This window comes from Homo sapiens, chromosome 1 (genome assembly GCF_000001405.40).
Source record: "Homo sapiens chromosome 1, GRCh38.p14 Primary Assembly".
NCBI lineage: Eukaryota > Metazoa > Chordata > Mammalia > Primates > Hominidae > Homo > Homo sapiens.
The window spans coordinates 101,059,173-101,076,689 of NC_000001.11; the positions used below are offsets into that span (position 1 = coordinate 101,059,173).

Genomic DNA, 17,517 nt, shown 5'->3' on the forward strand with positions numbered 1-17,517 from the left:
GTTGATTGATAGTGTTGTTTAGGTCATCTACATGCTTAATGATTTTTTTTCATTTACTAGAGAGAAGTGTTAGAATATCGAACTATAACTGTAGGTTTATATATTTTTCTTTCAAGTTCTGTTAGTTTTAGCTTTATGTATTTTTCAGCTCTGTTATTAGATGCATGTACTTTAAGATTGTTATATTTTCTTGATTAATTGACTTCTTTATCATTGTGAAATGTCTCTCTATATCTACTATATCTCTTGTTCTGAAGTCTATTTTAGCTGATAATAATATAGCTACTCTGCCTTTCTTTTGAGTAATATTTACAAGGTATATCTTTTTATATTCTTTTCTTTTTAACCAATCTCTGTCTCTATATTTAAGGTGGATTCCTTGTAAACAGCATATAGTTGGATCCTGCTTTTTCAGAAATCCAGTCTGACATACTTTAAAATTATAGTGTCTAGAGCATTTAGAATTAATATAATTATTGATACCATTTGTTTTATGTCTACCATCTATTTGTTTTATATTTATCTCATCTGGTCTTTCCCTTTTTTCTCTTTTAAAAAACTTATTAATTGGGTATTTAATTTCTACTATTTGACGATTTTTTTTAGTTGCTGATTTATTTTTAGTACATATCTTTAACTTGTCATAGTCGACATTTAAATTATAATACTCCTCCTATCCTTTATGCTCTTATTATGTCACACATTTTAAGGCTATATATGTAGTATCAACCTCATAATACATTATTATTTGCTTTAAACAGACATAAATATCTTTTTAAGAAATTAAAAATGAGAAAAATATTTTTTATATATATTCACATATTTACCATTTCTGTTGCTTGTCATTGTTTGCTGTAGGTCCATATTTCTATCTGGTATCATTCTTCTTTGGCTGCAGAACTTCTTTTTACAGTTGGGTGGGTGTGTGTGCGTGCACGTGCACATGTGTACCCGTGCATGTGTATTTGTGTGTGTGTTCATGTGAACGTGTGTGCTGGACTGCTGGTGATAAATTCTCTTGAAAGAATTCATCTGAAAAAGTCAATGTTTTCCCTATGTATTTGAAAGATATTTTTACTGGGTCAGAATTGTAGGTTGACAGTTTTATTTTGTTCTGTTTCCTTTCAGCACTTTAAAGAGGTCTTTTCATTATCTTCTGGTCTGCATGGCTTCTGATAAGAAATTGGCTGTCGGTTTTGTCTTTGTCCCCCTGAATATAATGTGTCTTTTTTCCTCTGGGCATTTAAGATGTTCTCTTTATCACTGATTTTCAGCAATTTGATTATGATTTGCCTTAGAGTGGTTTTCATTGTTTCTTCTGCTTGGAGTCATTGAGATTCTTGGATATATCTGAAAACTTGATTTACGTATTTTTTTTCTGGTTTACTAGCTGTTTACAGTGAAAGTGCAATGCCCATGGCAGATGTCTTAGTCTGTTTGGGCTGCTATAACAAAATGCCATGAACTGATTGGTTTATAAACAACACAAATGTATTTCTACAGTTCTGAAGGCTGGGAAGTTCACAATCAAAGTGCTAGCAGATTTGGTGTCTGGTGAGGTCTGCTTTCTAATTCATAGATGGTGCCTTCTCACTGTGTCCTTACATAGTGGAAGGCATGAGGCAACTCTCCGGGACTTCTTTTATAAGGACACTAGTTCCATTCATGAGGGCAGAGCCTTCATGATTTAATCTACCTACCAAAGACCCACTTTCTAATACCATAACATGGATGATGAGGTTTCAACATATTAATTTGGGGGAAACATGAACATTCAGATGATAACAGCAGGTAATATTTCATGTGTGGAATCAGAAGTCTTATTTTGTTATTATTGGTAGAAGATGGCTTTTTCACTTATAAGTCATAAACATGTTATTAATTATGTCTTCCAAAATTTTCAGATTTTGTTGTCAAATTTGAGAAAACTTCTCTCATTTTTTCTTGACTTAACCACATACTTTCAGTGCCCGACACCAAAGGACCTGTTCATATACCATGACCACCTCTGGCCCTGCATCTTTGTGTCATGATTCTAGATGAGTCAGTACTCAGGGTGATAGAAGTATTGCTAGAAGCCAGTCTTGAATTTTCTTGGCTAGTTATAATATAACCATATACAAGACTCTGCAGGCCTCATAAGCCTATCCCATTAAATCCAAGCTAAATATATACCTAACTCAATCTCCATTTAGCTGGATCTTTGTTGTTGTTTTTTTTTTTTATCTTAGAAATGGGGTCTCACTCTGTCATCCAGACCAGAGTGCAGTAGCTCAATAATAGCTTAATGTAACCCCAAATCCCTCGGTTCAAGCAATCATCCTGCCCCAGTCTCTCAAGTAGCTAGGACTACAGATGTGTGCCGCTACACCTGGTTAATTTTTTAAATTTTCTTGTAGAGAAGGGGTAACACTATGTTGCCTCGACTGGTCTCAAACTCCTGGCCTCAAGCAGTCCTCCTGCCTAGGCCTCCCAAAGCACTGGGATTACAGGCATGAGCCACCATGCCCAGCCAGGTGGATATTAACATTCATGTAGCCACTCCAACATACCTACCATGAGGAGAAGTAATGGAAAAGACATAATGAAAAGAGACGCTGGTATTAATTGATTGCAGTTAATATATCTTACTGTTACAAATTGTACAAAAGTGTATGATCACTAAATATAATGCTGGTGTTTCTCTCTGGGCCTTGGGAGGGGCTTGTGCAGAGACGCCCTGTCACTTATGTTTCATTCACTTTACACTAATTCTGCTCTGACTTTACCATTGTTGTTTTAAAAGCAGGATCATTCTGTGTCACACACTAGTATAATCTTGGGCTGTAATAGAAATTGTTGTTCAGCACTGAAAACAGGAATGAGGAAACGTGCTGTTAATGTGTCTCTTACTTCAGCTATCTGATTCTGACAAAATCCAAGTCAGTACTCAGTTATATACTGTTTCCCCAGCCTAGTGGAAAAAAAAATTGAGTTTAGTAGAGATTTGGGTTAAAGAAAAGGAAATCCCTTTTGCAGTTTAGAGGTCTTAATGATTGGGGCCGGGCACGGTGGGTCACGCCTGTAATCCCAGCACTTTGGGAAATCGAGGCAGGCAGATCACAAGGTCAGGAGATCGAGACCATCCTCGCTAACACGGTGAAACCCTGTCTCTACTAAAAGTACAAAAAATAGCCAGGTGTGGTGGCGCATGCCTGTACTCCCAGTTACTCGAGAGGCTGAGGCAGGAGAATGGGGTGAACCTGGGAGGCGGAGCTTGCAGTGAGTGGAGATCGCGTTACTGCACTCCCCAAAAAAAAAAAAAAAAAAAAAGAAGAAAAAAAATAGAGGTGTTAATGATTACAAAACAAAAATAAGTTAAGCAAAAATTTTGATTCAAAAGTAGAAAGTGTATATTTCATTTCACTTTTGTACTTAATAAGTGGTATAGTTCTCACTTGTTTGTTGTTTCATTTGTTCCCTCAGTCTGTCACTTATAAATAATGAATATGTAAACTTGATTTTCACAACTTGGTTTGCTGCAATATAGCCCCCCAAAGTAACTGGGCTTTTATTAGTTTTTATTGCAAGTATTCCAGTTTTAACAGCTTTGATAGCAACTATATCTTAATTTTTTCTCTTATAAAAATGCTGAGAATCCCTTTTCATAAACAAGTGTTTTTTTTAAAGATAACTTTATCAACATGGCAACAGTCTCTAAGTTTCAGATGTGGTGCTACTTAGTCCCTTATAAAGAACGAATGGGGTCGGGCGTGGTGGCTCACACCTGTAATCCCAGCACTTTGGGAAGCTGAGGCGGGCAGGTCACAAGGTCAGGAGTTTGAGACCAGCCTGACCAACATGATGAAATCCCATCTCTACTAAAAATACAAAAATTAGCCAGGCGTAGTGGTGTGTGCCTGTAATCCCAGCTACTCAGGAGGCTGAAGCAGGAGAGTCACTTGAACCTGGGAGGTGGAGGTTGCAGTGAGCCGAGATCATACCACTGCACTCCAGCCTGGGTGACAGAGCAAGACTCCATCTCACAAAATAAAAATAAAATAAAATAAGGACAAATGGAATTCTTTTGCACACTTAATAGCAGCACCTAGACTATAGTCATGTCTGGCTGCTGATAGGAGGTTTAGAATCCTTTTCCTGTTTTGAATGTTCATTCCTGCTTTGAATTGTTGATTAAGAGAACAGATTTATTGACAGACTTCTGCTTTTGATTTCAAGTATCAGTGTTGATTGACTGTCTGCTGTAAGCATAATAGTGATGGATATAAAGCCACTAGTAATACCCTTCAAAATAATAAGATTTAAATACATTAAAAGATACAATGCTGAGGCCGATTTCAGACAAGGGAGAGATCTCTATGACCTAAAGATTCTAGAACTCAAGCTGGGCTTTAAGGTTGAACAGAATTTGAAGAAGGACATTCTATGGTGCAAGCAGAAACACCTAATAAGAGTAAAGGCAAAGAGGTAGGAATGTGCAGGTCTTATTTAATTTTCTTTAATTCAACAACATATATCAAAAGCTTATTGTCTTCCGAGTATTTTTCTAATTAAAAATACAAAAATAAATATGGAATAGTCTTTACCCTCTAAGAATTTAATAATCTAGGAAATGGGAAATGACATTGACAAAACTACTACTAGATAGAGGATTTCTATGAATAGAATTTATATCATAACCTTTTATTTAAAGGTTGCCTGAGCAACACACTTTGGGTCAGAAAGATCTGGGCTTAAAATTTAGCACTGCCTCTTCTTAGCTATGTAACCTTCAGCTCCTTTGAGTTTACTTTTATCTGTGTCTATCTTCCACTGTATTTCACACATACAACCTGAAGCTCTTCATCAGCAAACTCATTCCCACCAGGTCAGAGAGAATTTCACTGCCAGCTGTACTATCAAGTAAATGGAACCTGGACTGTCTTTCCCACCATAGGCTTTGTATCACGTTGCTCCTTACCAAGGCTACATTAACCCAGTCCAGATTCCTGGGCTCCAGTTCCTGATGTCTGTCTACAGTCATTGCCATCCTGCCTCACCAGCTAAATTAACTGGCCCTGACTCTTCTCAAAACCACATCTACACTTACCATTCTTTTCAAAGTAGCTCATTGGACTACTCCAAAATATCAGGATGCTATCATTTCAGTTTTCTTCCACCTCTCACTCACGAGGTAACTGTCTCCTTTTGCCCAGGACTCGGGATTCCTGGAACTTGGGAATTTCAGTGCTAAAACTGGGAGAATCCCAGGTGAAACAGGATGAGTTAGTCATCCTAACACTAGCCTGCTTCGGGCCTCTAGCCCTTGTTTCTGAAGTGTCGACATATCTGCTGCTTAACCTAATCCAAGTTTGGCAGTCTTCTCAATTTTTTGGTGGGGACGGGGAGGTGGGATGGGGTCTCATTATGTTGCCCAGGCCAGCCTTGAACTCCTGAGTTCAAGTTATCCTCCCACTTCAACCCCCTGAGTAGCTAGGACTACAGGCGCACATCACTGCACCCAGCTACCTTCTTAATATTTTGAAGGTCAAAAGACATTCATATGACAGCTGATTCCCAAAATGTATTAGTTAGTACTGAGAATGCCAAGCCAGTTTAAAACTAAAAGCAATAGCAGGTTGCAAATTAAAACTTCTTGGTGCTCAAAAAAAATTAAGGACTTGGAACGGCAGCCAGATGGCTGGGGTGAAAGGTTTATATGATGTCATAGATAAAGCTGGTAAGTGGGTTTGACCAGGATCCCTTTTCTGTGTGTGTACACATGTGCAGATGGGCATGCACGTGTGTGTACATGAATATGAGGGAGAAAGTTAAATGCTATGAACAAATTTTGGAAAAATCAGATTGTAGAACTAAGATAATAACTGGATATAGCAAGGAAGAGCAACTTAACTAGGAAAATGGATTAATTAATAAATTATTCTCAAATTTATTTTTATCATAAATTTAAGTAAGCCCTTGGTTCCTTTTATTACGTTTCTATGATAATCTAGTATAAGAGAATACCTGATATAAATCCAAAGCAGGTGATTGGTTATTTCTAACTTAATATATCAATATTTCACAGGCAAGTCTGAGATGCATCAAATAATTGTCAGAAATAGGGAAAGAAAGATGAGTGGGCCGGGTGCAGTGGCTCATGCCTGTAATCCCAGCACTTTGGGAGGGTGAGGTGGGAGGCTCACTTGACCCCAGGAGTTCAATACCAACTTGTACAACATAGTGAGACCCTGTCTTTGTTTAAAAAAAAAAAAAAGGATAGTAGAAGCATTTATTTAGAACATTTGTGCAATTGATATTTTTAAATTAAAATGTTTTAGAAACTTTTGATATTCTTTTTCTTCACAACTTTATAATTGGTCTTGCATTTGATGACTTTAACTAAACATCAATAAACATATTACAAAATGTTTAAATAAATTTTATTTATTTAAATAAAATAAAATAAACATATTACAACCACAGATTTATTTCCATAACTGATTTTATAAAAAGTTCCCTTAAATAGTCAATGAAATGAGTTTCCTAACTTAGAGCGCTTTTTTTCCACTCAGAACTAATTAGCTATGCTTAAGACTTTCTCACAAGAATTTCTCTACAGAGGAAACAGTACTTTCACTTTGAGGCTCTCCACTAGAATAAAACTATCTATGGGAAGGATCATGTCCCCTCTACCATCCCCATTTTCATATAGGCTTTTAAATGTTCACATATAGGCTATATGTTTCATATAGGCTTTTAAATGTTTAAATCTGTTGGTGTTCACAGAACTGCCTTTTCTAATGCAATGATTTTGAGGCAAGATGATTTGGGGAGACAAAACTACAGTTTTACTAAGTAAATTTGGGCTTCTAAGTCAGTAACAAAGGGCATATCAGATATTCAAAAAAGTAAATTCTGAATGTATAAGTTCAGGGGGTTTCTATTACCATATTAGTCCTTAGCTGTTAATATACCACAATAGAGACAATTCATACTGAGTATACAGTTACAGATAAATTGATCAAATTCATTCACTCAATAAATATTTATGGGGTACTTTCTATGTTTAAGAAACATTTCTAATCACTAGGAATATTGTCAAAATATTAGCCCTGTAGAGTTTACAAAATGGCTAGTAGAATTTACAAAAATCTCTAGCCTTTTAGAATTTAAATTCTAATAGGGCAGACAGACAAAAAACCCAAAAGTAAATAGTATGTCAGATGGTGATACATGCTATGAAAAATTAAAGCAGCCTGAGAAGGTTAGGGAGTGATCCACAGTGGATGGGGCAGGTATGCTGCTTGAGATATGGTGTCAAGGAAGGCCTCTCTGAAAAGGTGATTTGAGCAGAGACCTGAAGGAATTGAAGGAGTGAGGGAGTGAGCCTTGAAGGTATCTGAGGAAGAGCAGATGAGGTAACAGCAAGTGCCAATATCCTGAGGCAGAATTGCTGGGCATATTCAAGGAATAGCAAGGAGGTTAGTTTGGTAGGAGCAGGATGAGAAGGGAGAGAGTGGCAGGAAATGAGATTAGAGAGGTGGGGGTAGGATGGCAGATCTTGTCAGGTTTACAGTCTACAGAAGATATTTTGGGCATTCAGTCCCAGGGAGATGCCTTTAGAAGTAGAAAGTTGCATTTTTTTTCTTCAATTTTTATTTTGAGCTCTGGGGTACATATACAGGATGTGCAGGTTTGTTACATAGGTAAATATGTGCTATGGTGGTTTCCTGCACAGATCATCCCATTGCCCAGGTATTAAGCCCAGCATATATTAGCTATTTTTACTGATGCTCTCCCTCCCTCCACCCCCTGAACAGGCTCCAGTGTGTGCTGTTCCCTTCAATGTTTCTATGTGTTCTCATCGTTCATCTCCCACTTATAAGTGAAAATATGCAGTGTTTGGTTTTCTGCTCCTGCATTAGTTTGCTGAGTATAATGGCTTATACTTCCATCCATGTCCTGCAAAGGAGGTGATCTCATTCCTTTTTATGGCTGCATAATATTCCATGGTGGATACATGGAATATTACATTTTCTGTATCTAGTCTATCAGTCACTGATGGGCATTTGGGTTGATTCCATGTCTTTGCTATTGTGAATGGTGCTGCAATAAACATATGTGTGCATGTATCTTTATAATAGAATGATTTATATTCCTTTAGGTGTATACCCAGTAATGGGATTGCTGGGTCTAATGGTATTTCTGCTTCTAGATCTTTGAGGAGTTGCCACACTGTCTTCCACAACGGTTGAACTAATTTACACTCCCACCAGCAGTGTAAAAGTATTCCTATTTCTCCACATGCTCGCCAGCATCTGTTGTTTCTTGACGTTTTAATAATCGCCATTCTGACTGGCATGAGATGGTATCTCATTGTGGTTTTGATTTGCATTTCTCTAATGATCAGTGATGTTAAGCTGTTTTTCATATGTTCATTGGCCACATGAATATCTTCTTTTGAGAAGTGTCTGTTCATGTCCTTTGCCCACTTTTTAACGGGATTGTTTTTTCTTGTAAATTTGTTTAAGATGCTTGTAAACTCTGGATATTAGATGTTTGTCAGATGGATAGATTGCAAAAATGTTCTCCCATTCTGTAGGTGAGGATTGCATTTCTTAACTAAAATGCCCTCAAACCAAATTGTCACAATACTGGCCTTAACCAAGCCATTTATGCCCGGTGTTCCATTTTTTGATTGCCACATAACATTATGTGAAACACAATAAAAACTTTTTCTCTTCAAATTCTTGTTCCTTAAATTTTTGCAGGTTACATATATGAATTTTATGCAAAAATTCAAAAAATTGCAACCTCAGGCATAAATGGGTTATGAAGACTAATTTCTACTTTAAATTATTTTTCAAACTTAGATGGATCATCCTATAAGCATATTAATTCAATCTTGGAAAAGACTTGCCTGGTAATATGGCAGAAGCTCTAGTTGTCAAAAAGTCTTAGAACAGCTTGACTATTTCTCAGGTTTTCCATCTTTCACATCTCTAAAATGTTCAGTGCAAGTTTTTAGTGAAGCAGAGCTGATATTTTTGTAAACTTATGGTATATTATTGATAATTTTCAAATAAGAGAAAATCTAGTCTATTAGCTAGAATAGTTTCATTTACTTCAATTATTTATTCAATAAACATTTACTTTGCATTTATTATATTCCAGAATTGTATTAGGTCCTCAAAATACAAAGATATAGAAAGGCTTTTTCCTCAAAACAGATTCGTAAATAAATAATTGCAAGATGATATGGCAAGTGCCTACTATATAGTAGTTGCTCATTAGATACTTGTTTAATGGATGAATGATGGTAGGACCAAGAATGAAATGATTATCTTTGTCCGAGGAAGTCAGAGAAGGGGGAAGGAATCACTTTTGACCATTAGCTCCACGGGAAAATGGGGAAAGGGCATTATCTTGTTCACTCCAGCATCTAGCATAGAATCCAGCAAATAATCAGTGCCCAGTAAAAATGTATGGAATGAATAAATGGATGAGTGAATGAGGGGATGATTGAACAATGTCTAAGGCAGGAGTAAAATTTAGGAGGCAGGAGCACATTGCTTGTAAAGGGAACAATGTATACAGAAGGCACAGAGATGTGGAAATGTATTATTCCATTCCAGTAATAATTTTGGATTTTCATTTAAAGTACTCTGTCACATATACACTAGAGACATAATTGTTGGTACACATGCTTCTTTTTGTGTATTTCGTATGAATCTACTTGCATCTAGAAATTTTCTACAATGCTATTGGTAGATGTATATATATATTAGCCAGATGAAATATTTATGTTTTTAGCACAGAAACTTGTGTTGCCACAACTTATTTTAAATAGTATATTTATAAGCAAGAACAACTCTGAAATCAGAACAGATAACATTGTCCTAATAATACAAAGATTAATTCACAGAGCACATTTGGTGGGAAAAAAATTATACATTTTGCCACATAGTAAAGAGTATTATCTTGTCCATTAGTTGTGCAGTTAAACCTTTATCAAGGTATAACAAGCCCTCAAAGTGATTTCAATTGAATGACAAAAGGGATGGAATAAAATTCATTTAAAACTGGTTCACACCAGCTCTCCTGCGTGTTCTATTAACTGCTAAGATCAAGTCACAAAACATTATTTTGAGGAGAAAGGGTTTAGTGAACCCTAGAAATTGGGTTTGATTTATGCCAGAAAATCTGCCTTTTCACTGCTTGAGATTTCTGTGGAAGAAAGCCACAGTCTTTTACCAAATGGTTTCTAAGGAAACCCCTTATAGCACAGCATTGGAAAACAATTTAGTTGTTAATGAGAAATGGTTCTCACGGTGGGAAAGTGTTGACTGAAAGAAAAGGCTTCTGGAGTTAGCGGTCAGTCTGTAAAAAGTGTTTACCGCTCTACAGTTAACGTTTATGAAATTTCTACATAGAGCAAACATTTTTAGGTCCCATTTTGCAGTTATTCTCGCTTGTAAATATATTTTTTAAAGAAGCTAGGGCAATAGAAAAGTTTTTGTCTAAAAGTTTAGATACTTGAACTTGCAAAAATATATTCAAACAAGTTGTCTTCCAGAATCTGTGCACTCCGGTGAATTTTTCAGTTTTGGAATTGCAACATTCTAGAATTTATATGTTAGCATTAAAATATAAGTAAATTAATTTTGCATAAAATATTTCTAAAAATCCTAAAATACAGTAGGGTATTTATATATTTTTAAAACATTTTAAAAATGTATTCTGAAATGTCCCATAAGTTGTATTTATTTTACTTCTTTAATTTCTGCATAAAAATAAAATAATTAATTGCAATGAATATTTTAACTATAATCCTTTTATAAGAATTTCAAGATTAAATTTTAATATCTAATGAAGCACTAAACCTTGTAGTTAAAAAATAAATGCTAAATATATACAAATTCTTCTAAATGTACCTATTGAAGCCAGATTCCAAAATAACTACACCTGTATTTTCCTGATAATCTTTAAGTAGTGAAAGCCAAGGAAACTCATGCAATAACTTTAAATAGATTTTCATCTGTAGCATGATTCAGAAACATGAATGAATATATGACAGGAACCAAAAAAAGTGACCATCAGAAAAGTTCAGAGGAAAATATTTAGAAATATTTCTTGCTTTGGGATTGTTATAAGTTTTCAAGTCTGTTTAAAAATATAACACTCAGTTGTTAAGTCACTTGAAAGCCTATTGGTACATCGCTTTGCCGAAAGCTGCCATCAGTCCATCTGTCCACAAGTGTGTTTTCTGCTTTAGACTTTCATACAAGACAGAGTTGCCAATAGTCTTCATGTTGTCTTCCGTTGTTTTCCTCATTTGACCCCCACCTCCTTTCTCTTTCTTCTCTGGTCTTTGAACTTCCTCCACTTTGGGCAGCTGCTTTCATTTGCAGCTCTGCTTTGAGCAAGGAAAAAATTCTGCCAATGAAAACAGGAAAAATAAGAAAACAAGAAGGGTTGCAAGTGTTTTGCATGTGTTGCAGCTCTCCGGCTGTCCACTTTGGGGTCTTCTCACCATTGGGTAGTATACTGAGAAGGAATCTGTTGTTGGAAACTGACCCTAGGTGACCAGAGCTTATCTAAGGGACACTTTTTTTGTCATCTTAGAATCAATAAATTTATAAATCATTTGTGTTAAAAGAACTGTGAAAGTGATATTTTATGTTTACTCACCCACTCCATATTCTGAGGTATATATTTATCATTTGGTCTGGTCAGATCTATGATATTGTCAAGTTACAGTTATATATATATATATATATGACTATATGATGTATATATAATATTTTAGAGACAGGGTCTCACTCTGATGCCCAGGCTGGCCTTGAACTCCTGGGCTCAAACGATCCTCCAGCCTCAGCCTCCCAAGTAGCTGGGACTACAGGCGCTTGCCACTGTGCCCGGTTATAATATTTTTGATTAAGACATTTGAGAGGGAGAGAATATGGCCTTTTTTTTTTTTTAACTCTCCTTCATTCCCTACAATACACACAAAAACCCCCACAGGGCAGGAACTTCTCTAACTTTCTCAGAGTAGTATATGATAGATATGCATGTACAATACATGAGAGTACTTCATAAATATTAGTTCATGGAGATAATGAAGAAAACATCTTTTCTAAGTCAAAAAATAGGAAGCAAATTCTTAATAGTTGCTGTTATTATGCCAATATGCTTGAGTTTGAAGTTTAGTGAGATCTTTTTTGAGTGGCTAAAAAAGGGAAGAGATGTAAGTCTTGTCTTCGTTGATAAAACATCAGGAGGATAGATTGATGGTGGTATCTAAATAATATACTCAAAATTAGAGTGTAGTTTCTGCCTTGGCACATCTGTCTTGTTTCCACTTCTTTGCTTCCTCCTTTTTCCACAGTATCCACTGCAGCACCACAGGATAGCTCCCCAGATAAGGCAGCAATCTAATGGGGCAGCTGTAGATCTCTGTGTTAGAATTAAGAAAGGAGTATTTGTCATTACTTATGTAACCCACTCTGCATCCACACTGACATATATAGCTGAATGAAGAAATCGCTCAAGCAAAATGTTGCCTCCCTTTGACCTTGTCTGAGTGCCATTCATTGTTGTTATCAGAGCTGAACAGTAAATGGCAGGAACCACATAAGAGTTGTAAACAAGTACACATGAGAAAAAGAAGTAACTGTATTTGCTGAGTCAAGATCCATGTAAAGGAGAGGATCACATTTCCCTTTCTTGGAAACACTTGAAAATATTTACAGTCTCAAGTTCAATTTAAAATATTCTTATTAAGTGTCTACTCTGTGTTAGACTCTTCACTAGTAACTGTGAATACAGAGATAATGAAGTATCTTGCTCATGGAAGAACTCACAGACTAGACTTATGATAACCTCTCTTCTCCTTAGAATTTGGAGGACTTTAGATGGTTTCCCCTAGATTTTTGTTTTGTTGCACAGTGTTACTCTTATTCTCTTAATCTCTAATGAAAAGCCTATTTGGTGGTATAGTACGAGTCCTAATGATGAATGAGTCCTAATGATAAATAAGACATCATTAGGACTTCTACTTTTTCAGTCTGTTTTACGAGTCCCACTCCACTAGACTGGGACCTTCTGGAGGGCAGGTTCCAGAAGGTCCCAGTCTAGTGGAGGAGTGAGACTTGTAAAATGGAAGTTATAGTACAATTTTTATAGAAATGATCAAATCATATTCTTTCTGAAACACTTAACTTCTGAGATTGATAGATCTTACCATTTAAATGAGTATACACATAAGGTGTTGTAGCATTGTATCTGGCAGACTGAGAGGACATAAAAGATGTTAACTACCTGCTTTACCATTATTACCTTTACCTTTCCTGTTTCACTGTTCTTATGCCAGATATTGAATACAAATCTAGCCCTTCCATATTTGACCTCTTTAAATGTCTCATTAACAAATGTCAGTCTACTTTCTAGGTGACATGAGACTCCTTATGTATCAGCATATCATTATCACTTCTGTTCTTCCACAGTTCCTGAATATATCACATGTGGTGATAAACATGAAGATGTATGAAAAATTGTGTTCGTTGAGAGAAAATGGAAGGCTTTTCATTCTACTTCCACATTTTCATTCCAGCAGCTTTTCTGTTTTGGAAGATGAGTACTGAATCTTGCAATGAAATTTTTTTAACTTAAACAAGGTATATTTTAGCGTGTTCCGCTATGGATGACTGTCTGATGCCGTCATGAATATTCAATTAACTTTTATTTTATTTTTATTTTATTTTATTTATTTATTTATTTTTGAGATGGAGTCCCACTCTGTCGCCCAGGCTGGAGTGCAGTGGCATGATCTCGGCTCACTGCAACCTCTGCCTCCTGTGTTCAAGTGATTCTCATGCCTCAGCATCCTGAGTAGGTGGGACTACAGGCATGTACCACCATGCCTAGCTAATTTTTGTATTTTTAATAGAGATGGGGTTTTACCATGTTGGCCAGTCTGGTCTCAAACTGCTAACCTCAAGTGATCCACCTGCCTTGGCCTACCAAAGTGCTGGGATTACGGGCGTAAGCCACTGTGCCCAGCCAAATATTCAATTAACTCTTAGATCAGCGTTTCTGAACCTCAGCTCTGCTGACATTTCCAGCCAGATAATTCTTTGTTGTGCGGGCTGTCCTGTGTGCTGTAGGATGTTTGGCAGTATCCCTGGCCTCTACCTACTAGATGACAGCATCCCTGCACATCTCTGACATCCAAAAATGACTCTAGACATTGCCAAATATCCCTGGGGGGTAAAATCATCCCCAGTTGGGAACCACTGCTTTTGATCATCTGGCCATTGATTTTTGGCCAATAGGATGGAGCTATGTGACTACAAGGGTGTGTGGCCTTTCTTCTGGTAGGTGTAGGACTTCAGTCTGCCATGCTCCTTCATATACTCAGTGCCTAATTTGTGCAAGGTAGCAGCAAACCATGAGGAGAAAGGTGGTCCATGTCTTGAAGAAACTCATAGTCTAACAATTTGTAAACTAAGTTGATTTTTCAGGTTTTGGAAATATGCTAGGTGATTCTTGATAATTCTTTGAAGTGGTACCTTGAGCTTCTTAGATAGCTGTGATAAATTTCCAAAGTTGGATATTATTATGTGTTATCAAAATACTTTCAAAGCAGTGGAAAACCCCTATACTTTTCTTGAAATTTTTCATTGAATAGTTGACTCTTGTGTAAGGAATAGATTGAAATTTGCAGCTTTGTTTTACTGGGATATTTGCTTGTTGTTTTAATGTTTAAGCCTTATCCCTCCAAATCTTTTATAAATCAACACTTGTATTGTAGATTTGGAGGATAATAACAGCACCTGTCCTGATACATAGAGTTCTTATTGTTTAGACAGCTGTCTACACTGAACATCAGCTGTCTGTACTCTGATTTCAGGGGTGTGTATGTGATCTAGGTTTGGACAATAAAAATATTGAACCCTCCTTCCCTGGACCTACAATTGTTTAAGGGAAGGAGACATGCAAAAGTTGGTATAAATTTCAATTCTAAAAGAATAATTGTACAATAAAAAATCTTACAATCGTGTAACTGAAGCTAACGTAAGTGTTCAGCTTACTATCAAGTACATAAAAACTTTAAAAATCCTTTAAAAATAACAAAAAATTCCAAATACTGTAATTAAGCATTTGATTCATTTAAAATCAAGTATGGAGCAACATACAATATAGCATTTAATATCACATTTGAACTGGTAAATCACTAGGACAACTTAGTTAAATAGTAATAAAAGAATTAATCCCCAGGATTATAGCATTTCTGTGGCATTTATCTAGTCCTTTGTACATAACAAAGTGATTCAGCTCTTCATTCATAAAACTGTGTTAGGAATCTGAGTTGTATGGTTTTCTGTGTGACAATTTAGACATTTTAGTCTTTGCATTCCAAAAACACTAGGAAAGTTGTTATTTGTTTGAAACAGATTCCAATGATCTGTTCTAATTTATTCTGATGAAAAGGGTAAAGGGAAATTTCTCTGACTTCTAAACTAACTTGAGAGATTTTCCTATTGCCTCAGTCTGTCCTCCCACCCCTAAGGTACATAGAAAGACAGATATGTGTGTACACACTATAACATTGTTTAAATGATACTCATATTATTGTTCTGAAATAGCCATACTTTAAATGATTTCAGATAATTGGCTTCAGTTTTGCTAATATAATTTATGTAAGTCATATGGCTAGGTCAAATTTAATAGAAAATTTGGGAAGAAAGATATTTAAAAATATATTTTATGATGAAAACTATCTTGATAAATTTCCTTGTTTATTTTATATGATAAAAATCATTGGTTGCTCCCTAATAAAATATCATTTCACTTACATTACAGTGCTGGGCATGTATTACAAGTTGCTCATTTTTAGAGCTAATTTATGTAGCATATTTGCATGTGTGTGTGTAAAAGATTGTGACAGAGATAAGAGAAATAAGTGAAACGTTCACTTATTCACAATATAAGTGAATATAATCTATTAATATTCAAATTAAAAACTAGATAGCAAGTCAGTAGTTCATTTAGTTGAGAAACTTAGGGGAGGATGGGCAACTAACAATAACGGTACTATTATTATCATTCCTTTTTTACAGACAAGGAAAATGAAGCGCAGAGACGTTAAATAACTCTCTCAAGGTCATGCAGCTGAGAAGAGATGAGACTTGAACTCCAGTGCCAGCCCTGTTAATCACTATTCTGTACTGTCTTTCAGGTTCTTATGCCTTTGTTTGAAAAACATGGTTCCCTGTGAAATTTTACATGTAGAAGAAAGCTTCACACTACGAGAGCTCTCAGGATATAATTATTTCAGACAGATACTGGGAACATAAGATGGCTTATCAATCTAAGATGGCCTTCCTGTCCTTCGGATTGAACTGAAACCATCCCTGATTCCAGGGATAGGTAGATGATCCAGGTTTGGACAATCAAAATATTGAACCACCCTGGACCTACAAGTGTTTCTGGGATGGGAACATGCAAACGTTGGTCCAAATTGTTGTTCTAGGCAGCCCAGTACATTTCTCCAATGCCTGGTAAGCTCTAAATATCTCTAAATGTTTGTTGCAGAATGAATGAGAATAAAAGTATTCTCTTAGAACATATCCCTGACATTAGGTGTGGGATAAAAGTGGAAAATGCAGTTTGCCTCATAAAAATAGCTTTCAGAAATGACTTTTCTACAACAGCCATTCACCAGTATTCTAAAGGGCACCTGTCAAGGAGTCACTGCATTTTCAAAAGTACATTTATTTTCACATCACTGGCCAAAGTTGATCTATTATCATCACATTAGGCCCCTAGTATAGAGATGGCCCCTAAATTAGAAGCAGATTTGAATTGTTGAGACCTAAAAGCTTAGTTCCCTTAGAAGACTTTTTACCTGAGGGCAGGAGGTATAGTGAGGATCACCTGCTTTGAGTCATACTGGCCTGAGGTTGAATCATAACTTTGAAGTCAACTGAGGAATTGCATACTATGCATAGCATGACCAGCGGCATACTATGCAATTCCTCAGTTGACCGAGTAATTATACCCACCCATAGGATTGTTTTGTGAGTTAAAGGAAAGCTATATATACTTACATAAAATAAGCTGTATTATTTTACTTTCTTTTACAACTCTCAGTTGCAGGGATAAAAGGGAAGGAAAGAAGGGAGGGATGGAAGGAAAGAATAATGGAAGGAGGAAAGGAATTATAAAAGAAAATTGGCTAAAAAAATTAACTCATTACTAAAATATTAAGGGTTCAAACAGTATTCTCAGGACTTGGTATCTGCATTTCTACAGCCTATTTTTCTTAATACTTGCTTTAACTGTCAAAGGAGTTATTTCCTAATGTCATCCTTTAGCAACTCTAAACTTACATCTTGCCATTTTCTAATATAACATAAAAAAGAGCAACTCTCCCTGAAATACCTATAGAAGTCTTGGCCTCACTTTGATGAGACAAACTTGCATGTTTCTGTTCCTAAAACAACTGTAGATCCAGGGGGGTTCAATATTTTG

At 36.1% G+C, this 17,517-nt stretch overlaps 1 long non-coding RNA gene across 1 annotated transcript in view; it reads left to right on the forward strand.

Moving 5' to 3' along the window:
• Positions 1–17,517, forward strand: part of DPH5-DT (DPH5 divergent transcript) — a 61,534-nt gene that overhangs the window by 33,327 nt on the left and 10,690 nt on the right. Inside the window, exon 2 of the long non-coding RNA NR_109849.1 lies at positions 16,223–16,544. This is a non-coding gene — a long non-coding RNA (DPH5 divergent transcript). The remainder of the gene's footprint in view (positions 1–16,222; positions 16,545–17,517) is intronic.